This window comes from Homo sapiens, chromosome 13 (assembly GCF_000001405.40).
Source record: "Homo sapiens chromosome 13, GRCh38.p14 Primary Assembly".
In the NCBI taxonomy this organism is placed as follows: Eukaryota; Metazoa; Chordata; class Mammalia; order Primates; family Hominidae; genus Homo; species Homo sapiens.
The window spans coordinates 89,457,222-89,476,951 of NC_000013.11; the positions used below are offsets into that span (position 1 = coordinate 89,457,222).

Genomic DNA, 19,730 nt, shown 5'->3' on the forward strand with positions numbered 1-19,730 from the left:
TATATATCTATATATACACACACACACGTATATATGTGTGTATACATGTAGGTATATATATATGTGTGTGTACATGCATATGTATATGTAAATTTATATGTATATGTGTGTGCATATATATATGCCACGTGTGTATATATACTATGTGTATGTGTATGTGAGTATGTGTGTGTGTGTGTGTATTTACACACACCATGTTGTATATGCATATATATACACATTACACACACACGTGTGTATGTTTGTGTGTGTGTGCACATACACATCATGGTATATATCTATACTCATGGTTTTCAAGAATACATATCTGTATGTATGTATAATAAAGCCACCTCAATATGGTTTTCATAAACTCTGCACCCAAACAGGCCTGTAAAAACCCTATGTAACTTCTAAATAGAGACAAAGACAATTATGGAGTCATGTTTCCACCAGACACGATGCAGCTATCGCACATGCAACTGAAAACAAGCTTACTTTTTCCCTAAAAAAAGATAATAAATCCATTTTATGCCTCTGGTTGATGTTCATTATTCTTTAACCTGAGTCATATTACCCTCTTTATAACTTAAATACTGAGATACAAAGTTAACTACTATTAATGTGCTTTCTTGTAGTTGGCACTGGAAAAATAAAGGGGGAATTCTTAAATATACATTCATACACAAGCAAAAAATATTTATATTACAATAAGAAAATAACTACTCATAACTATTGCAGTTTTTGTTTCTGTAGCTTTTCTCATAGCGGTAGATGATATTTGTAACTAACTCCTCTCACTGCCTATTCTCTATATCTTTGCCCTTAGAAATCAGCTCAACTAGCTGTGGTTCATTGCCTGCTGAGACGATCCAAGCATTATTCCCTAGAGCAAGAGCTACATTCTCTCTAATTGAGTAATTGTAGATTTTCGTTGACTTCAGTCACAGAAAATGGGAGTACTAAGTAGCACACTAAGAGATTTTCTACATTCCAGACATACTCCTCCTTACCCTACTGCTTGGCAGTAATCCAAATTCTGCCTTAAATTTCAAAATCAGTCACCAGTAGAGTAACCATTTCCTTTGTCCATTGATTGACTAACCTGGATAACCCAACGTGGCAGCCTCAACATCTGTATAAATGGAACCACTGCTGTGGACCACGGTGGAAATAAGAATTCCACAACACCAGAGCCCAAAGTTTCAGGGATAGGAAACAAAAATTTTTCAAAAGCTTACTAAGGGTAATAGGGAGAAGAGGAACTCCAATTTTGACCCCTTGACTTCCAGACCCATGAATTGTGGCTCTGAGAAGATGACAATCTTATATTGGTCACTAATTTAAAGCATATAGTCCATCTTGCAAAAAAAAATGACCCACGTTCCAAAGCTGTCACTTTTACTAAGTCTTCAAAGTGCCATTTCATAATTCTATTGGGTAAGCTGCTTCAGGATGTTGGAGAACATGGCCAGACATGTGAATTCCATGAGTATGAGCCTGTTTTCATAATTCATTTGCTATGAAATGATCTCCATGGTCAGAAGCAGTGCTGTATATAATACCATGATAGGGAATAAGTTAGTCTGTATGTCCCAAAATAGTCATTTTGACAGATGCATTGCAGGAAAATCCATATCCAAAGCATGTATTTCACATGTCCCAAAAACATGTCTAGAGTAGTTGCTACTTCCTATTCATCAGATCCAATCAGCATCATTAGAAAATTGTGTTGACCCATGAGATAGAAAGGCAACCCATGCCCTATGGACTTGACTTTAACATAGGGCTAGATACTTGATATAGCTGCAGACATGTAACAGTGAAGGTACATTGTTGGCCCTTTCAGATGGAAATTATTTGCTTTTGATAGTCACTACTAAAAGATAAAATTTTTAAAAATGTATTTTCCCAATCATTAGTTGCATACCAGGTTCATTGGATATGGTGATGCATCCTATCACCTCTGAAAATTCAGATACAATCATTCACAACCTAACAGTTAAAATAATCCATAAGTTTCCAAGTCTGTTTCAGCACAGGTCAAATAGGTGACTTAAACATGTATATAATAGGAGTCATCATGCCTACATCTTCCAAGTTCTTGAGGCTGGCACTGATCCCTTGAATCCTTCTAAGAATGTCTCTAAGAATAATTGTTTTCTGTTTACTGTTTGAAAAGTATCAGCAGTTCTAGTTGTTTCCATGTGGCTTTTGCTATTATAAAAAGCCATGAAACCCTCACTCCATGGCTCAAAAAAGCAATATAGATGCATTATGTATCTGTATACCTCTATCTGATTATATTTATCTAAACATATCCAATTATGCACTCTAAAACTGTGAAAAACCATGGGATAATTGGGGAACTGCTGGGCCAATAGTAACATACACCTGGGCAAAAACTCCAGTGATTATTTCTGATCCTTCTCTGACCTGTGGACCACAAAGACATTTTGAGCCTTCAAGAATTAGTTCAGGTTATTGTAGCCCTGTAATATAGTTTGAAGCTGGATAACATGATGCCTCCAGCTTTGTTCTTTTTACTTGGCTGGCTTGCCTATTCAGGCTTTTGTTTGTTTGTGTCCATATACATTTTAAAACAGTTTTCTCTAGTTCTGTGAAGAATTTCAATGGTAGTTTAATGGGGATAGCATTGAATCTATAAATTGCTTTGGGGAGTATGGCCGTTTTAATAATATTGATTCTTCCTATCCATGAGCATGGAATGTTTTTCCATTTATTTGTGTCATCTCTGATTTCTTTGAGCAGTGTTTTGTAGTTCCCCTTGTAGAGATCTATCACCTCCCTTGTTAGCTGTATTCCTAGGTATTTTATTCTTTTTGTACAATAATCAAAAGAGCATAGTATTGGTACAAGAACAGACACATAGACCAGTAGAACAGAGTAGAGAACCCAGAAATAAGACCGCACACATACAACTATCTGATCATGGACTAACCTGACAAAAACAAAAGCAAAAGGGAAAGGACTCCCTATTCAATAAATGGTGCTGGGATAACTGACTAGCCATATGCAGAAAATTGAAACCGGACCCCTTCCTTACACCACATAAAAAATTATCTCAAGATGGATTAAATACTTAAATGTAAAACCCAGAACTAGAAAAATCCTGGAAGACAACCTAGGTGATACCATTCAGGACATAGGCATGGGGAAAGATTTCATAACGAAGATGCCAAAAGCAATTAGCAATAAGAGTGAAAATTGACAAATGGGATCTAATTAAACTAAAGAGCTCCTTTACTATAAAAAAGAAACTATCAACAGAGTAAACAGACAGCCTACATAATGGCAGAAAATAATTGAAAACTATGTATCTGACAAAGGTCTAATATCCAATATCTATAAGAAACCTAAGCAAATATGCAAGAAAAATTAACCCCATTAAAAGTGGCATAGGACATGAACAGACCCTTCACAGAAGTCATACACGCAGCGAACAATCATATGAAAAAGTTCAACATCACTGATCATTAAAGAAATGCAAATGAAAACCACAATGAGATACCATCTCACACCAGTCAGAATGGCTATTAAGAAGTCAAAAATAGCAGATGCTAGTGAGATAAAAGAATACTTGTACACTGTCAGTGGGGCTGTAAATTAGTTCTACCATTGTGGAAGACTGTGTGGCGATTGCTCAAAGACCTAAAGACAGAAATACTATTCAACTCAGCAACCCCATTACTGGGTATGTACTCAAAGGAATATAAATTTTCTATCATAAAGACCCATGCATATGTATGTCCATTGCAACAATATTCACAATAGCAAAGACATGGAATTTACCTAAATGCCCATCAATGATAGTCTGGATTAAAAAAAATGTGGTACATATATGCCATGGAATACTATCCAGGCATAGAAAAGAATGAGATCATATCTTTTGCAGGAACATGGATGGAGCTGGAGGCCATTATCCTTAGCAAACTAATGCAGGAAGAGAAAACCAAATACCACATGTTTTCACTTATAAGTGGGAGCTAAATGATGAGAACACATGGACACATAGAGGAGAACAACACACACTCAGACCTATTGAAGTTGTGAGATGGGAGGAGGGATAGGACCAGGAAAAATAACTAATGGATACCAGGCTTAATACCTGGGTGATGAAATAATCTGTATAACAAATCCTCATGACACACGTTTACCTATGTAACAAAGCTGCATATCCTGCACATGTACCCCAAACTTAAAAGTTAAAAAAAAAAAAGAATTCAGAGTCAGTGCCCAGTTACCCCTCCAAAGTCTGACTATTTCCCCCTCTCTAATTGATTGTCATCCTTAACGAATGGCCACAGGTCCCTTGCAAATGACTGGGAAGAATATTAGCAATATAAATATTTTACACTCTAGCAGGCTCCTTCTGCAAGAAGACTAAGCCTCCTCTTCATTCACAGAGCATAGAATTTGTGAACTGGCTGAAGTCAAGAAATTGAGTGAGGAACCCTGACTCTCTAATAAGGTAATTTGATACATATTTGTGTTCACTGGACCTAGAAATTTATCACTTATAAATGTCAAGTAAGACTATCAGAAATAGTCATCTATTTCTGATCTAGGGATATATTAACTAGACAACACCAAAGATCTCTATGGGTCCGATTACTCCGATTATGGCTTTGAAAGTGAAGTCCATTACAATGATGCTCACTTTTTGTTATCACTTGGCTCTGACATGCTGAATTGAGAGCCCAGTCCCATGGTAGCAATTCCCTCTGACATTCCTGGCCTACAGGCAGAGCAACCGTAAAACTCTTCAAGGATGTTTGGGCTTCCGTCTTGAATGCTTGTCTCACAACAGTGGCGAAGTGAGTCTCATCTTGACCTTTCATCTTGACATAGTGAAGAGGTCTTACATGATAGATTTAATCTAATAATATAGTCTCCCTAGGCTGCTGGATACATTTCTTTACAGTATTCTAGAAAGGTTTCAGCATAACAATTTCATTTAAATTAGACTATGTTTGGATTTAAATTTCAGTTAGCAAATGTTAAAACCATTTCCAGTCCAGACTGTTAGTTTCCAGTAAAAAACTAACACTTTGATTTTAGCATTTTGGCTTAGTGATTCCATATAAATAAATTTGGCCTGATGCAAATTCATATTCTTTCCACCTGATCCCTCACATGTTCTCCAGGTTTTTATAGATATAATTTATGAAAGTTCTATAGTATTTTGGTGTACATTACACATCCTCATGGGTCTCAGGTCTCAAAGCAATAAGTGGAAATAGGTCCTGAGAAGAATCAATAGTTCCTTAAAACTACTGTAGTTGAGAACATTATTACTGCTTCAAGTGAAAGGGGGAAAAGCCTTTATCAAATAAGGGTGGAAAAATTTCTTCTACTGGCAAGAAAAGATCTGCAGGAGTTAGAGGTTCAAGATCTTCACCTGTATTAGAAACTTCTCATATGATCCTATCTTAAATTTTAGTGTGTCATTTCTTTCTAATCAATGCTGCTAATTTAATATTATTATAAATCCTAATAATATGGGAATTCAATTTGTACTGTAATTCTGCCATCTACGGATTTGATTTTCTGTTTGACTTACAGAAATCTTGGCACTGCACCTATAAGAGATAAGGTTTTATTTTAGGCAGTCGTAGACTATTTCAGATCCCCTATGTGGACTTTAAGCTGGAATTTCAAGCCACGAACTCAGATTTTCATTGTCCCCAGCTCTCCAGTGCACTGAGAGGCAGTTAACCCACACAATTTTACTTTATTTCATTGAAATGCTCTATAGAAAAGAATCTTGGTAGCCCTCCATAGACATTTTATTACAGCTAGATACATGTGATTATTTGCATAATTTTTTTTACTGTATGCTCCTTTAGGAACAGGGTCAATAATATCTTTAAATCTAGTAAAATCAGCGAAACAACTCCAGGTAACTAAGAACCAATTCACTGAAATTATCCATTAAGGTTTTGTTTTCTGGAACCACTTTTAGTACCAAAATCTCTTACAGTTAGTCTTCTATCCAAAAAGTATAACCATTGGAAGGGAGGTGCTGAAAAATATTTTAAGGATATTGTTTGTGTCTGATGCTGGAGTTTGAAATCTGTTAGAGCAGTAGTCTGTCAGGAAAGAAAACTGTACACTTTCTTTTTCTAAAAAAAATAAACAACATCGAGATGGGGGCAAAGCTACATCTCTCTTTATCTTCTTAAATATCTACATGCAATTATTTTATATTCATTCTGTAAATTATTCAATTATTTTAATTTTACCTAGAATAAATCCATATCAAGATGGATTTAATTACTTGTTTATTTTTTAAAAAACTTAGTTTTTATTTTCTTTTTATTTTGTTACTTACCTTTTTTCTGCTCAATAAACTTATCTTGAGTTGAATTCATCTACCATCTTTGACTCTTTCCTCACCTTTCCAGGTTGGTTAGTTTTGAATATGCCTCCATGCAGATCCCATGGTTTGTAATACTGAAAACAATTACTGTATTTATAACTCACAGCTCCTGTCCTATGGAAACATGGAGAACAGCACAGATCTAATCATCAACCCAGCAGATTTTCTTTGCTCCCTGCAGCATTCTTTGTTGTTGTGTTGTTGTTGTTGTTGTTGTTGTTGTTGTTGTTTATGTGTTTTGGGGAAGGAGTGAAAGTTTCATTTTTATATAAGCATATTTCTAGTTGGGCAGAACATAGGCTGGAGAACTAAACCATCATCTCCAGCCTCTGAGAAATAGCCTCCTGACTTCCCTTCTCTTTATGCCTTTATTTGGGTTAAAGGTTATATGAGAGATTATAGTGTTTCTATATGTGTTAGGTTTAAAAAAAAGTCATCACATACTTCAAAAATTTTGTAAAATTTGACTTCAAATTTAGCAAGCCATAGGTGAATTTTAAGGAAATTTATATATGCAGAAATGACCTTGAATTGTTTATAAGGAATATTCAGAGCTGAAAATAATATAGAGTACCATTTCAAGAGGTTCGATTATTGAGAAAAGCAAAAAGCTAGGGTGTTAGTGTAAGAAGGAAGAATGGCTAAAATATGGAGTTTATAAGACAGAAGGTATCTAATAATACCATGCAGAAGAAAAGGATGCAGTACATCTAGTAATAACCATTTATTAAACATTTAACAATATCAGAATTTTATGTTAAATTACTATCTTAGTCTGTTTTCATACTGCTATAAAGAACTGCCTGAGACTGGGTAATTTATAAAGGAAAGATGTTTAATTGAATTACAGTTCAGCATAGCTGGGGAGGCCTCAGGAAACTTACAATCAAGGAAGAAAGCAAAGAGGGAGCAAAGCACCTTCTTCACAAGGCAGCAGGAAAGAGAAATGCGGAGCAAAGGGGGAAGAGCTGCTTATGAAACTATCAGATCTTGTGAGAACTCACTATCATGAGGACAGCATGGGGGAAACCACCCCCGTGATTCTATTACCTTCACCTGGTCTCTCCCTTGATAGGCGGGGATTATGGGGACTACAATTCAAGATGAGATTTGGGTGGGGAGACAAGACCTAACCATATCAATTACTAATGTAAATTATTAATTCAATCTTCATTTTATAGATTAAATGTGATGATTATTATTATATAATATAATCACATTGAATTTATAAAATGAAATCTTCTAAATTTGACAAAATAAAGGATCAAGTTACATAACTTTTCAAAGACCACACAGCTAATAAATTAATATATTGGCCCTTTGGCAACAGAACACCTGGAATCTTAACTGCATCCAATAGAGAGAGAGAGAGATGAAAGAATATCATATGCTTGATAGAGACACTCATTTTCATCACTCACATACATAGTGCATGCATAACAAGCAGGCAGGTCAAAGATCCAGGCCAACTCGAGTAACAAGACTGTGGGATGAGAAATTGAAGCAAGTCTATGAAAGTCTTGCATACAACAGCTCTGAGATAACCATGTCATTTTTTCTTATTCTAATCTTCTATTATAACTTTTTGAAAATGTTTCAGGAAAAAACAAAGGGCAAAACAAAAACAGGGAGCATAAAATCAAGATTTGAAAATAGTCAGTGAAAAAAATGACAAAAAAATGTTATCTTGCTTTCATTATAGTCCCTTTAGAACATATATCAAAATCCAAGGTTTCACATATATACCTATAACTGTATATATGTGTGTATATATATATATGAGTTATGATAATGTCTTTATTAATGAATGACTGTGAAGGATTGCCTCTAGATTGCTTTCTATTGTAGTCAATCCACTGGCATCAAAGATGCCCTTGAAACAGATGAGCTGGGTTTGGTGTGGGAAAAGAATGAGTAATAGTACGAAACCACAGAAAGATGAAAGTGAGACTGATGCAAGCAAGGAGCTTGAAGAAAAGTACTGAGGACTCAATGAAGCACAGTGGGAAGCACTGTAACATAACTCCCTATTGATGAGAACTGAGACTATTCAACATCCCTTGCAGTCGTGCTGGTGTCTGAGATGGAGCAACTCAATATGAACAAAAACCCCATGCTGTAAGTGAAGAAAAGTAGTGTTGCCAAAAAAGACACTGTGAGCCATGATCAGAGTGGTTATTAAGCCTACTATCACTGTCTCTCTCTCTCTCTGTGTGTATATGTGTGTATATATATATACATGCATACATATATTCTATATATATAAACAGAGAACAAAGAAAATGTCATATATGCTAAAAATTTCAGTTAAAATTAAGTATTTATAATTAATAAATATGTTAGGAAGAATATCATTAAAACAAGATAACAGTCGCTTTAAGTTTTATTTTATTTTATTGTTCCTTTTCTCTACAGTCTCACATATTCTGATGTCTATTTCTCACTGCCACTTTTGCTACTTTTTTCTTTACCAAAAATAATGTGTTTAAATGCATATATCCATTTGTGTGAATTCACTTTGTCACTTAAAATGCTTGATATATATGTATATATAAGTATATATTGATATATATACACACACATATATATGTAAAGAGTAATTCCATAAAATCCAGTCTCATTTCACTTTCTACTAATTCATTTTCTTTGTGACTGCATCCTTTTTTGTTTTTTGCCTCTCTGCCTACTCCCTCATGTTCATGTTCTTCTCATCTTTTTGTATAAAAATATTTCTATTTATTTAAATTTAATGCCATATTTATGTGACAGAATATTCCCCAACCCCTCAGGAGTATGCAAGATGACTTATCAGTCTCATATTTTACTGGATCAATGATAAAGTCATCCTTTGCTTCCTCTGCTCTTTCACAGCCAGAGATTTTACCTGTACTCTCCTCAGTGAGGCATGGATAATTAATAGCTCACTTTGATGCCTCTCTTACTTGGTAAAAAAATTTCACATTGCTTGGTATGAGCAGATAATATCTCTCCAGACACATGAATTTTCAGTGTTTCTTATGTAGGTTGATGCAAAAGTAATATTGGTTTTTGCTCTATCTATCTATCTATCTATCTATCTATCTATCTATCTATCTATCTATCCATCTATCCCGATATATGTTACCAAAACACCAGGGGTTTGGTCTAGGTCCTACTGCTCATGGCACAGAAAGCCAATCACTGAGACAGTGAGTTTTGCCAAGGAAGAAGACTTTATTTGGGAGCTACAGCCCAGGAGATGAGAGATGTCACAGTCTGTCTCCAAACCAACTAAAATTAGGAGCAGAAATTTAGCTACATGTGGGGAAAACAGGAATTTGGGAGGATTAAGGGAGAGGAGGTGGTAAGCAGGAAGTAGGGAAGGGTAAGAAAATCACACCAGATGACGGGTCTGGCATCTCATTGTCTGGATACAATGATCTGGTAAATTTCAGTTCCTTGTCTAAGGGTTGGTCTCCTAAGGAAGAAACTCAGAGAAGACAAATGTAAGTTCAAAGTTTTAAGACCAGAAGGGTCAATTTCTATGTTTAGTCAAAAAGCTGAAAACGGCAGTTCTATGGGACAATTGGGCCAGTTTCATATATATTTTGAACCCTGAAAATCTGAGACAGGTCTCCATTACTTTAGAAAGTTTATTTTGCCAAAGTTGAGGGTAAGTGCCTGTGACACAGCCTTGGGAGGTTCTGACATGTGCCCAAGGTAGTCAGAGCATAGTTTGGTTTTATACATTTCAGGGAGACATGAGACCTTAATCAACATATGTAAGATGAACATTGGTTCAGCCTGGAAAGGCGGGACAATGAGAAGCAAAGGCGGGAAGATGAGAAGTGGAGAGGGGCTTCCAGGTCATAAGTAGATAAGAGACAAATGGTTGCATTTTGAGTTTCTGATTCGCCTCTCCAAAGGTGGCAATCACATATGCATTTATCTCAGTGAGCAGAGGGATGACTTTGAATAGAATACAAGGCAGGTTGGCCCTAGCCAGTTCCCAGCTTCATTTTTCCCTTTAGCTTGGTGATTTGGGGACCCCAAGATTTATTTTCCTTTCACAATATATAAAAGTATGAAAGGAAACACACACACACACACATATGTATATATATATACACACACACACATATATATATACACACACACTATATATATATATAATTTTAAACTTTCAGAGCTCTGGCTTATTACTTGTGTTTAATCATAATTAACTTAGCAACCATAAACATAGTAATGCAGATCAAAGGCTAAACTATTTAAGACTCCAGTAATATGTAAAGTTAGTTTAAATAAAATACACTAGTGCTTATTTTTGTTTTTTAAATAAACTTTACCAAGATGTAATTTATATAAAAAATACGTTTAACTCACAATTATATAAATGTAATTATACAGTATGCAGTGTTTTCTGTCTGACTTTTCTCACTTAGCATGCTTTTCAGATTCATCCTTTTTTGTGGTCTTTTATTGTTTCTTTTTAAATATCACTAATTTGTGTATGTTATATATCAGTAATTTATACTGTTCTTATTGCTGACAATTATTCCATTGTATGGATATATCACAATTTGCTTCTTCATTCATCTGTTGATTGACATTTGTCTTGTTTCTAATTTGGGGCTCTTTTGAAGAAATCACTATGAGCATTCATGCAGAAGTATTCATGTGAGCCTGCGTCTTCGTTTTTCTTGAATGACTGCATAAGTGTAGTATTGCTAGGTCAATTGTCAAGTTTATTTTCCATGTCATTAGATAATGACAAATACTTTTCCAAAATGATTGTACTATTTTACATATGTAGCTGCAATGTATGAGAATTTCAGTTGCTCAACATATTAGTTGTAGTCAGTCTAATTTTCACTTTTCTAATAGATATGATGCAATATGTCCTAGTGCATTTAATTTGCATATCCATGATAACCAATTAACATTTTTAAATGTGGTTATTAGCCATGTATTAAGTTGGTGCAAAAGTAATTGTGGTTTTCAGTGAAAAAAAACTTTTGCACCAACCTAATACATTCTCTTTGATAAAGTGTCTCTTTAAATTTTTTTTTCCAGTTTTGGATTGAAATTCTTTTATTTTTCTTATTGAGTTACAAGTTTTATTTTTATATTTTATACAGTAATTTTTCAAATATATGGACTGGAAATATATTCTCCCCATCTGTAGTTTGCCTTTATATTTTCATAGTGATGCCTTCCAGTGAATTTGTAAGTTTGATGAAGTCTAGTCATTTCTTTTAATAGCTCATCTTTTCTGTGTTATAGCTAAGTAATCTTTGTCTACCCCAAGGTTACGAAGATATTCTACTATTTTTTTAAATAAGTTTTATAGTTTTAATGCTATGTATAAATACATGATCCATCCACATGCTACTCTTTTCTAAATAGTTTTGTGAATGGTTTGCAGTTTAGAGATAGTTTTTTCCCATTTTTTAAAGCACTATTTCTTTAAAAAATTACTTTTCTGTATAGAGTCACCTTGTCATTGATTTATCATATATGTGGGTCTATTTTGAACCCTTCATTCTGTTTTATCATTCTAAATACTTTTATAACTGGATTCATTATAAGTGTCAGAGCCAGGTAATATAGTCCTGTAAAGATTTTAACTTTCAGAATTCTTTAGTCTCTCATATATCCTTTGCACATTAATATATATCTTAGTATCATCTTATCAATTTCATAAAAAGCAAAACTAACAGATTTGGATAAGGGTTGCCTTATTCAAGGGTTGCCTTGAATGTATAAATCAATCTGGTGAGAATTTTTACAATGTTAAAACTGACAATTCATGAACATATTCTCTTCATTTATTTAAATCTTTAATTTTTCTTAGCAATATTTCATAGTTTTCAATGCATAGACTTTGCACTTATTTTGTTAAGTTTGTAATGTTTATTTCATGTTTTATACTGATATTGGAAATAGTTTCTCAATTCATTTTCTAAGTATTCCTTAACAGTTTATAGAAATCCATTTTATTTTTATATAGACTTTTCTCCTATGGCCTAGTAAATTCACTTGAACTATTTTTCGTCCTCTGAACATTTATTAGAATTTTCAGCATAGAGTATTGTGATGTGTTTCTTTCAAACTATGTGGCTTTTAATATTCTTTCTAGCCAGAATCTTAAGTATAATAATGAATAGAAGTAAATATTAAGTAGAAGTAAATATTAAATAGAAGCATACATAATTTGTTAGGATAAGCATACTATGTTATCATAAAAGTAAATTTAATTTGCCTATAACAGATTCTCAAATACTTTTAGTTAAATAATATTAAAGTTACTTGAGTATAAATTTTAATCTAAAAGTAGAGATATGCAAATATATATTCGAAATTGTCTTTTCTGCCTATAGTTGCATCTGTAATAGTACAGACTTTGGTTTTCAAACACTATATCCAATAATGAATAATTTAAGCAATATGACCCTGGAAAGCCTGTTTGTGTGTACATATATTTATTAGTTAAAAATGTGCTTATACTAGTTGAAGAATATGTAATTAAAAGTATTTTACAGTTAAAAAAAGTGTTACCTAAGGACATTTATCCAAAATTGTTCATTACTTTTTGGAAAAATCTGAAAGCAGGTAATTTAACTCTGTTCTCCCAAACAGCTAAAATTTGAAAATGTTTAAGTTAATAGCATCTATGTAATTAAAGTATGATATTGAATAAAAATACCTTGTAATCTCTCATTTTGTAAAGGAATAAAAAATAAGGGACAATACATATTATGTCTGTCATTTTGCAGAATAAGTTTTTGGTAGTTTGCATTTTTGTATTAAGAATTGATTTCTTCTTATGCACAGAATTTTCAGATTTACTTTAGATGTCTAAGAAACTGCAAGAATAGCTTCATAATTTCATATATTTTTACAAAAATGTTTATACATTACTAGTATCTACTGAAACTCTTCAGATGACTGAATCTGTCAGTACATGGTATAAAAATAAAGCAAAATGATGAATAACACAGTATTTCTTACTTTGAAAAGGATTCATGAAAATCCTTCCTATTTTCTAGTCATAAAATTGAAGTATTACATTCTTATCTCTTCTCAATCATAATCATTAATAAAAAAACTAGGTATCAAATTTTTGAATGTGATTTTTTTTATTTGTTTAACTTTTAAGTTCAGGGGTACATGTGAAGGCTTGTTACATAAGTAAACTTGTGTCACGGGGGCTTATTGTACAGATTATTTCATCACCAAGTTATTAAACCTAGTACCTCTAAGTTATTTTTCCTGTTCTTCCCTCTCCTGCCACCTTTCACCTTCTGATAAGCCCCACTGTCTGTCTGTTGTTCCTTTCTATGTGTTCTCATCATTTAGCTTCTAATTATAAGTGAGAACATTAGGTATTTGGTTTTCTTTTCCTGCATTAGTTTGATAAGGATAATGACCTTTAGCTCCATCCATGTTCCTGCAAAGGACATGATCTCGTTATTTTCTATGGCTGTATAGTATTCCATGGTATATGTGTACCACATTCTCTTTAACCATTCTATCACTAATGGGCATTTACGTTGATTCCGTGTCTTTGCTATTGTGAATAGTGCTGCAATGAGCATACACATGCATGTGTCTTTGTGGAAGAATGATTTAAATTCCTCTGTGTATGTACCTAGTATTGAGATTGCTGGGTCAAATGGTATTTCTGTTTTTAAGTCTTTGAGCAATTGCCACACTGTCTTCCACAATGGTTGAACTAATTTACACTCCCACCAACAGTGTATAAGCATTCCTTTTTCTCTGCAACCTTGCCAGCATCTGTTATTTTTTGACTTTTTAATGATAACCATTCTGACTGGTGTCAGATGGTATCTCACGGTGGTTTTGATTTGCATTTTTCTAATGTTCAGTGATGCTGAGGTTTTTTTTTTAATATGATTATTGGCTGTATGTATGTCTTCTTTTGAAAAGCATCTGTTCATGTTCTTTCCCCACTTTTAATGGAGTTGATTTATCTTGTAAATTTGTTTAAGTTCCTTACAGATGCTGGATATTAGACCTTTGTCGATGCAGTTTTCAAATATTTTCTCCCATTCTGTAGGTTGTCTGTTTTCTCTGTTGATAGTTTTGTTGTTGTTGTTTGTTTTCATTTTTGTTTTTGTTTTCACTGTGCAAAAGCTCTTTAATTAGAATCTATTTGTCAATTTTTGCTTTTGGCAACTACACTATAAAATCTTTGCCAGTTCCTACCTATGTCCTAAATAGTATTGCTTATGTTGTCTTCCAGGGATTTTCTATTTTGGGTTTCATATTTAAGTAATTAATCCATCACAAGTTAATTTTTTATATGGTGTAAGGAAGGGGTCCCATTTTCAGCTTCTGCATATGGCTAGTCAGTTAGCCCTGCACTATTATTGAATAGGAAATCCTTTCCCCATTGCTTGTCTTTGTCAGGTTTGTTGAAGATCGGATAGTTGTAGGTGTGCAGCCTCATTTCTGGGTTCTCTATTCTATTCCGTTGGTCTATGTGTCTGTTTTTGTACCAGTAACATGCTGTTGTGGTTACTGTAAACCTGTAGTACAGTTTGAAGTCAGGTAGTGTGATGCTTCCAGCTTTGTTCTTTTTGCTTAGGATAGATTGCCGTGGCTATTCGAGCTCTGATTTTTTTTTTGTTTGTTTCATATGAATTTTGAAATAATATTTTCTAGTTCTGTAAAGAATTGCAGTAGTAGTTTAATAGGATGAGCATTGAAGCTATAAATTGCTATGAGCAGTGTTGCCATTTTTATGATATTGATTTCTCCTATCCATGAGCATGGAATGTTTTTCCATTTGTTTGTGTTATCTCTGATTTCTTTGAGCAGTGGTTTGTAGTTCTCCTTTTAAAGATCTTTCACCTCCTTGGTTAGCTGTATTCCCAGGTATTTTATTCTCTTTGTGGCAATTGTGAATGAGATTGTCTTTCTGACTTGGTTCTCACCTTGACTGTTGTTGGTGTATAGGGATGTTTGATTTTTGTATTCAAAGACTTTTCTGAAGTTGTTTATCAGCTTAAGAAGATTTTTGGCTGACTATGGAGTGTCCTAGATATAGTATTATTGTCTGCAAACAGGGATAGTTTGACTTCCTCTCTTCCTATTTGGATTCCCTTTATTTATTTCTCTTTTCGATTGCTCTGACCAGGGCTTCCAAGACTGTTTAATAAGAATGGTGAGAGAAAACACCATTGTCTTCTGCTGGTTTTCAAGGGCAATAGTGCCAGCTTTTCAACATTCAGTATGATGTTGGTTGTGGGTTTGTTATATAAGGCTCTCATTACTTTGAGATATGTTCCTTCAACACCTAGTTAATTGAGAATTTTTAACATGAAGTAGTGTTGAATTTTTTCAAAAGCCTTTTCTGCATCTATTGAAATAATTATGTGGTTTTTGTCTTTAGTTCTGTTATGTGATGAATCATATTTATTGATTTGCATTTGTTGAATCAACACTGCATCCCAGGGCAAACCCTACTTGATTCTGTTGAATAAGGTATTTGATGTGCTGCTGGATTCAATCCACCCATATTTCATTGAGGATTTTTGTGCATTTATGTTCATCAAGGATATTGGCCTGAAGTTGACTATTTTTGTTATTTCTCTGCCAGGTTTTAGTATCAGGATGATGCTGGCCTCATAGAATAAGTTAGGCAGGAGTCCCTCCTCCTGAATTTTTTAGAGTAGTTTCAGCAGGAATGGAAACAGCTCTTCTTTGAACATCTGGAAGAATTCAATTGTAAATCCATCTGGTCCTGGGCTTTTTGTTGTTGTTGTTGTTGGTAGGTTATTTATAGCTACCTTAATTTCAGGGCTCAATATTGGTCTTTTAAAAGATTCAATTTCTTCCTGATTCTGTCTTAGCAGGATGTATGTGTCCAGGAATTTATCCATTTGTTCTAGATTTTTTAGTTTATGTGCACAGAGGTGTTCATAATATTCTCTGATGGTTGTTTGTATTACTATGAGGTCAGTGGTAATATCCTTGTTGTTTCTAGTTGTATTTGAATTTTCTCTCTTTTCTTCTTTATTAGTCTAGCTAATGGTCCATTTTATTATTTTTTTTTTCAAAAAACAAGCTTCTGGATTTGTTGATCTTTTGAATTTTTTTTTCTGTCTTAATCTCTTTCAGTTCAGCTCTGATTTTGGCTATTTCTTGTCTTCTGCTAGCTTTGGGATTTGTTTGCTCCTGCTTCTCTAGTCCTTTTCATTGTGATGTTAGGTTGTTAACTTGAGATCTTTCTAACTTTTGATGTGGGCATTTAGTGCTATAAAGTTCCCTCTTAACATTGTGTTAGCTGTGTCCCAGAGATTCTGGTACGTTGTGTCTTTCTTCTCAGTAGTTTCAAATAAGTTCTTGATTTCTGTCTTAATTTCATTATTTATCCAAAATTCACTCAGGAGCAGGTTGTTCAATTTCTATGTCATTGTATGTTTTTCAATACATTTCTTAATCTGGTTTCTAATTTGATCTGTGGTCTGAGACATTGTTTGTTATGATTTTCAATTCTTTTGCATTTGTCGAGGGGTATTTTACTTCTGATTCTGTGATCAATTTTAGATTATGTGCCATGTAGCAGTGAGAAAAATGTGTATTCTGTTGTTTTTGGGTGGAGAGTTTTGTTGATATCCATGAGGTTCATTTGATTCAGTGCTGAGTTCAGGTTCTAAATGTCTTTGCTTATTTTCTGTCTTGATAATCTGTCTAATATCGTCAGTGGTGTGTTAAACTCTCCCACTATTATTGTGTGGGAATCTAAATCTCTTTGAAGGTCTCTAAGAACTTGCTTTATGAATCTGGGTGCTCCTGGATGCATATATATTTAAGATAGTTAGATCTTCTTACTGAATTGAACCTTTACTGTTATGTAATGCCCTTGTCTTTTTTGATCTTTGTTTGTTTAAATTCTGTTGTGTCAGAAACTATGATTTCAACCTCTGCTTTTTTTCTGTTTTCCATTTCCTTAATAAGATTTTTTTATCTCTTTATTTTGAGCCTATGTGTGTCATTGTCTGTGAGATGGGTCTCTTGAAGACAGCATACCAATGGGTCTTGGTTCTTTATCCAGTTTGTCATTCTGTGTATTTTAATTGGGGCATTTAGCCCATTTACATTAAAGGTTAGTATCATTATGTGTAGATTTGACCATGTCATCATGATCTTAGCTGGTTATTTTACAGACTTGTTTATATGGGTGCTTTATAGTATAACTTGTCTATGTACTTCAGTGTGTTTTTGTAGTGGCTGGTAACAATTTTTCCTTTCCATATTCAGCACTTCCTTCAGGAGCTCTTTTAAGGGAAGTCTGGTGGTAATGAATTCCCTCAGCCTTTGCTTGTCTGACAGTAATTTTATTCTTCCTTTGCTTATGAAGCTTAGTTTGGCCAGATATAAAATTATGAGTTGGAATTTCTTTTCTTTAAGAATGTAGACTATTGGCCCCAAATCTCTTCTGGTTTGAAGGGTTTCTGCTGAGAGGTTCACTGTTAGTCTAATGGGCTTTCTTTTATAAGTGACCTGACCTTCCTGTCTAGCTGTCTTTAACATTTTTTCTTTCATTTTGACCTTTAAAAATATGATTATGTGTCTTGGAGATGATCTTCTTGTGAAGTTTATTACTGGAGTTTTCTACATTTCCTGAATTTGAATGTTTGCCTCTCTAGCTAGGTTGGGAAAAGTTATCATTGCTAATGTCCTGAAATATGTCTTCCAAGTTGGTTCCACTCTCCCCATCCTTTTCAGGGACACTAATAAGTCATATATTTGGTCTCTTTACATAAATCTCTATTTCTCAGATATTTTCTTCATTCATTTTTATTATTTTTTCTCTGTTCTTGACAGACTGCCTTATTTCAGAAAGGCAGTCTGAAAGCTCTGAGATTCTTTCTTCCTCTTGGTTAAATCTTCTATTAATATTTGTGATTGCATTATGAAATTCTTGTAGTATGTTTTTCAGCTCTATTGGGATGACTACATTATTTTCCATACTGGCTGTGTTGCCTGTCAGCTCCTACATTGTTTTATGAAGATTTTTAGCTTCCTTGCATTGAGTTTCAACATGTAGCTCAATGACCTTTATTCGTATCCATATTCTGAATTCTTTTTCTGTCATTTCAGCCACCTCAGCCTGGTTCAGAAGCCTTGCTGGAAAGATGATTGCTGGAGAGGTGATGCAATCATTTGGAAAATAGAAGGTATTCTGGCTTTTAAAGTTTTTCAAGTTTTTTGTGCTGATTCTCATATTTGTGGGTTTATCTACCTTCAATCTTTTAGATTGCTGACATTTGGATGTTTTTTTATTTTTTTAATCCTATTTGATGACTGTGAGGGATTGATTATGGTATAATGTGGTTTCAGCAGACTGGCTTAATTTCTGGAACGTATTAGGGGGCCAACATTCAACTCCTGATTCCTGTACTGTGTGCTCTAATTCTGAAGGACACTTATTGTGCCCCAGCTTTTCTCTCTGGCTCCTCAAGGTTTGGAATTTACTGTGCTGGGGGCGTTAAGGTTTGTCAGTTGTGGCAGTCTCCTGCAGACTTGCACCACAGTGGCACAGGCAACACAGTTGGGGCTTCAGTGGGCCCCTACTGGACACTGTGTGCATGGTTGCACTTGAGGTGGAGTTGTTTTGGGGATAAGATGCTGGCAAGCACAGGTCTGGGTGTCTCCTCTGTGCCCCACAAGCAGGAGAGAGATCATTCAGTGTGGGCCCAGAAGAAGCTGCAGTATGGGGAGGGAGTAGGTGGGCCTATGTATGGCCATAGGAGCCACCTGACTGGAGGTCTCCATTAGTTAGGCACAGTCAGCAAGTGCAAAAGCCATAGTGTGGGTCTCTAGGGCACCCAGGACTTCCTTGCAAACAGGCATGCCCAAGCTGAGGTGCCAGGAGAGGCCAGCAGACCAAGGGTTATTCAGATCAGACCAGCCCCATCTGATGGGCAAAACCACCCTGCAGAAATCAGTTTGACAGTTCCCCTAGAGCTAAAGTCTCCTATGGCAACAAGTCAAGTCTAGAGAAATGGCCATCCCTGTCCATACTCCACTTCAGATGTTTCTGCATCAAACCTTCTGGGCTTCACATCAGCTGTCTTGCTGCTCCTCCCACTTCTCTAAAAGCTCTTTCTGCCAACTTGAGTGTTCGTGTTGTTTGAGGTCTCCTACTGCTGGGGCTCCAGAGGCCCATGGCAAGACAAGGTTGCTGCTTGCCAATTTAACTTACTCATTCCCCTGGAGCTGTTGCGGTCCAAAAATGAGTGCCTCTGTGCCATAGCCCCATACAGTGTTCCCAGCTTTATCCCCCTTCAGTCCAGCTTCTGTGCCTTCCTTCCCTACCCACTTAGCATCTTCCCTC

At 34.9% G+C, this 19,730-nt stretch overlaps 1 long non-coding RNA gene across 3 annotated transcripts in view; it reads left to right on the forward strand.

The window, feature by feature from the left end:
- Window positions 1–18,570, forward strand: part of LOC107984621 (uncharacterized) — a 73,346-nt gene extending 54,776 nt beyond the window's left edge. For 2 of the 3 annotated variants that reach the window (XR_001749953.2, XR_001749952.2), the window contains one exon: window positions 18,494–18,563. This is a non-coding gene — a long non-coding RNA (uncharacterized LOC107984621). Of the gene's footprint in view, window positions 1–18,493 lie in introns of all 3 variants that reach the window. The other variant, XR_001749954.2, reaches the window with a different exon arrangement.
- The last annotated feature ends 1,160 nt before the right edge of the window (window positions 18,571–19,730 follow it).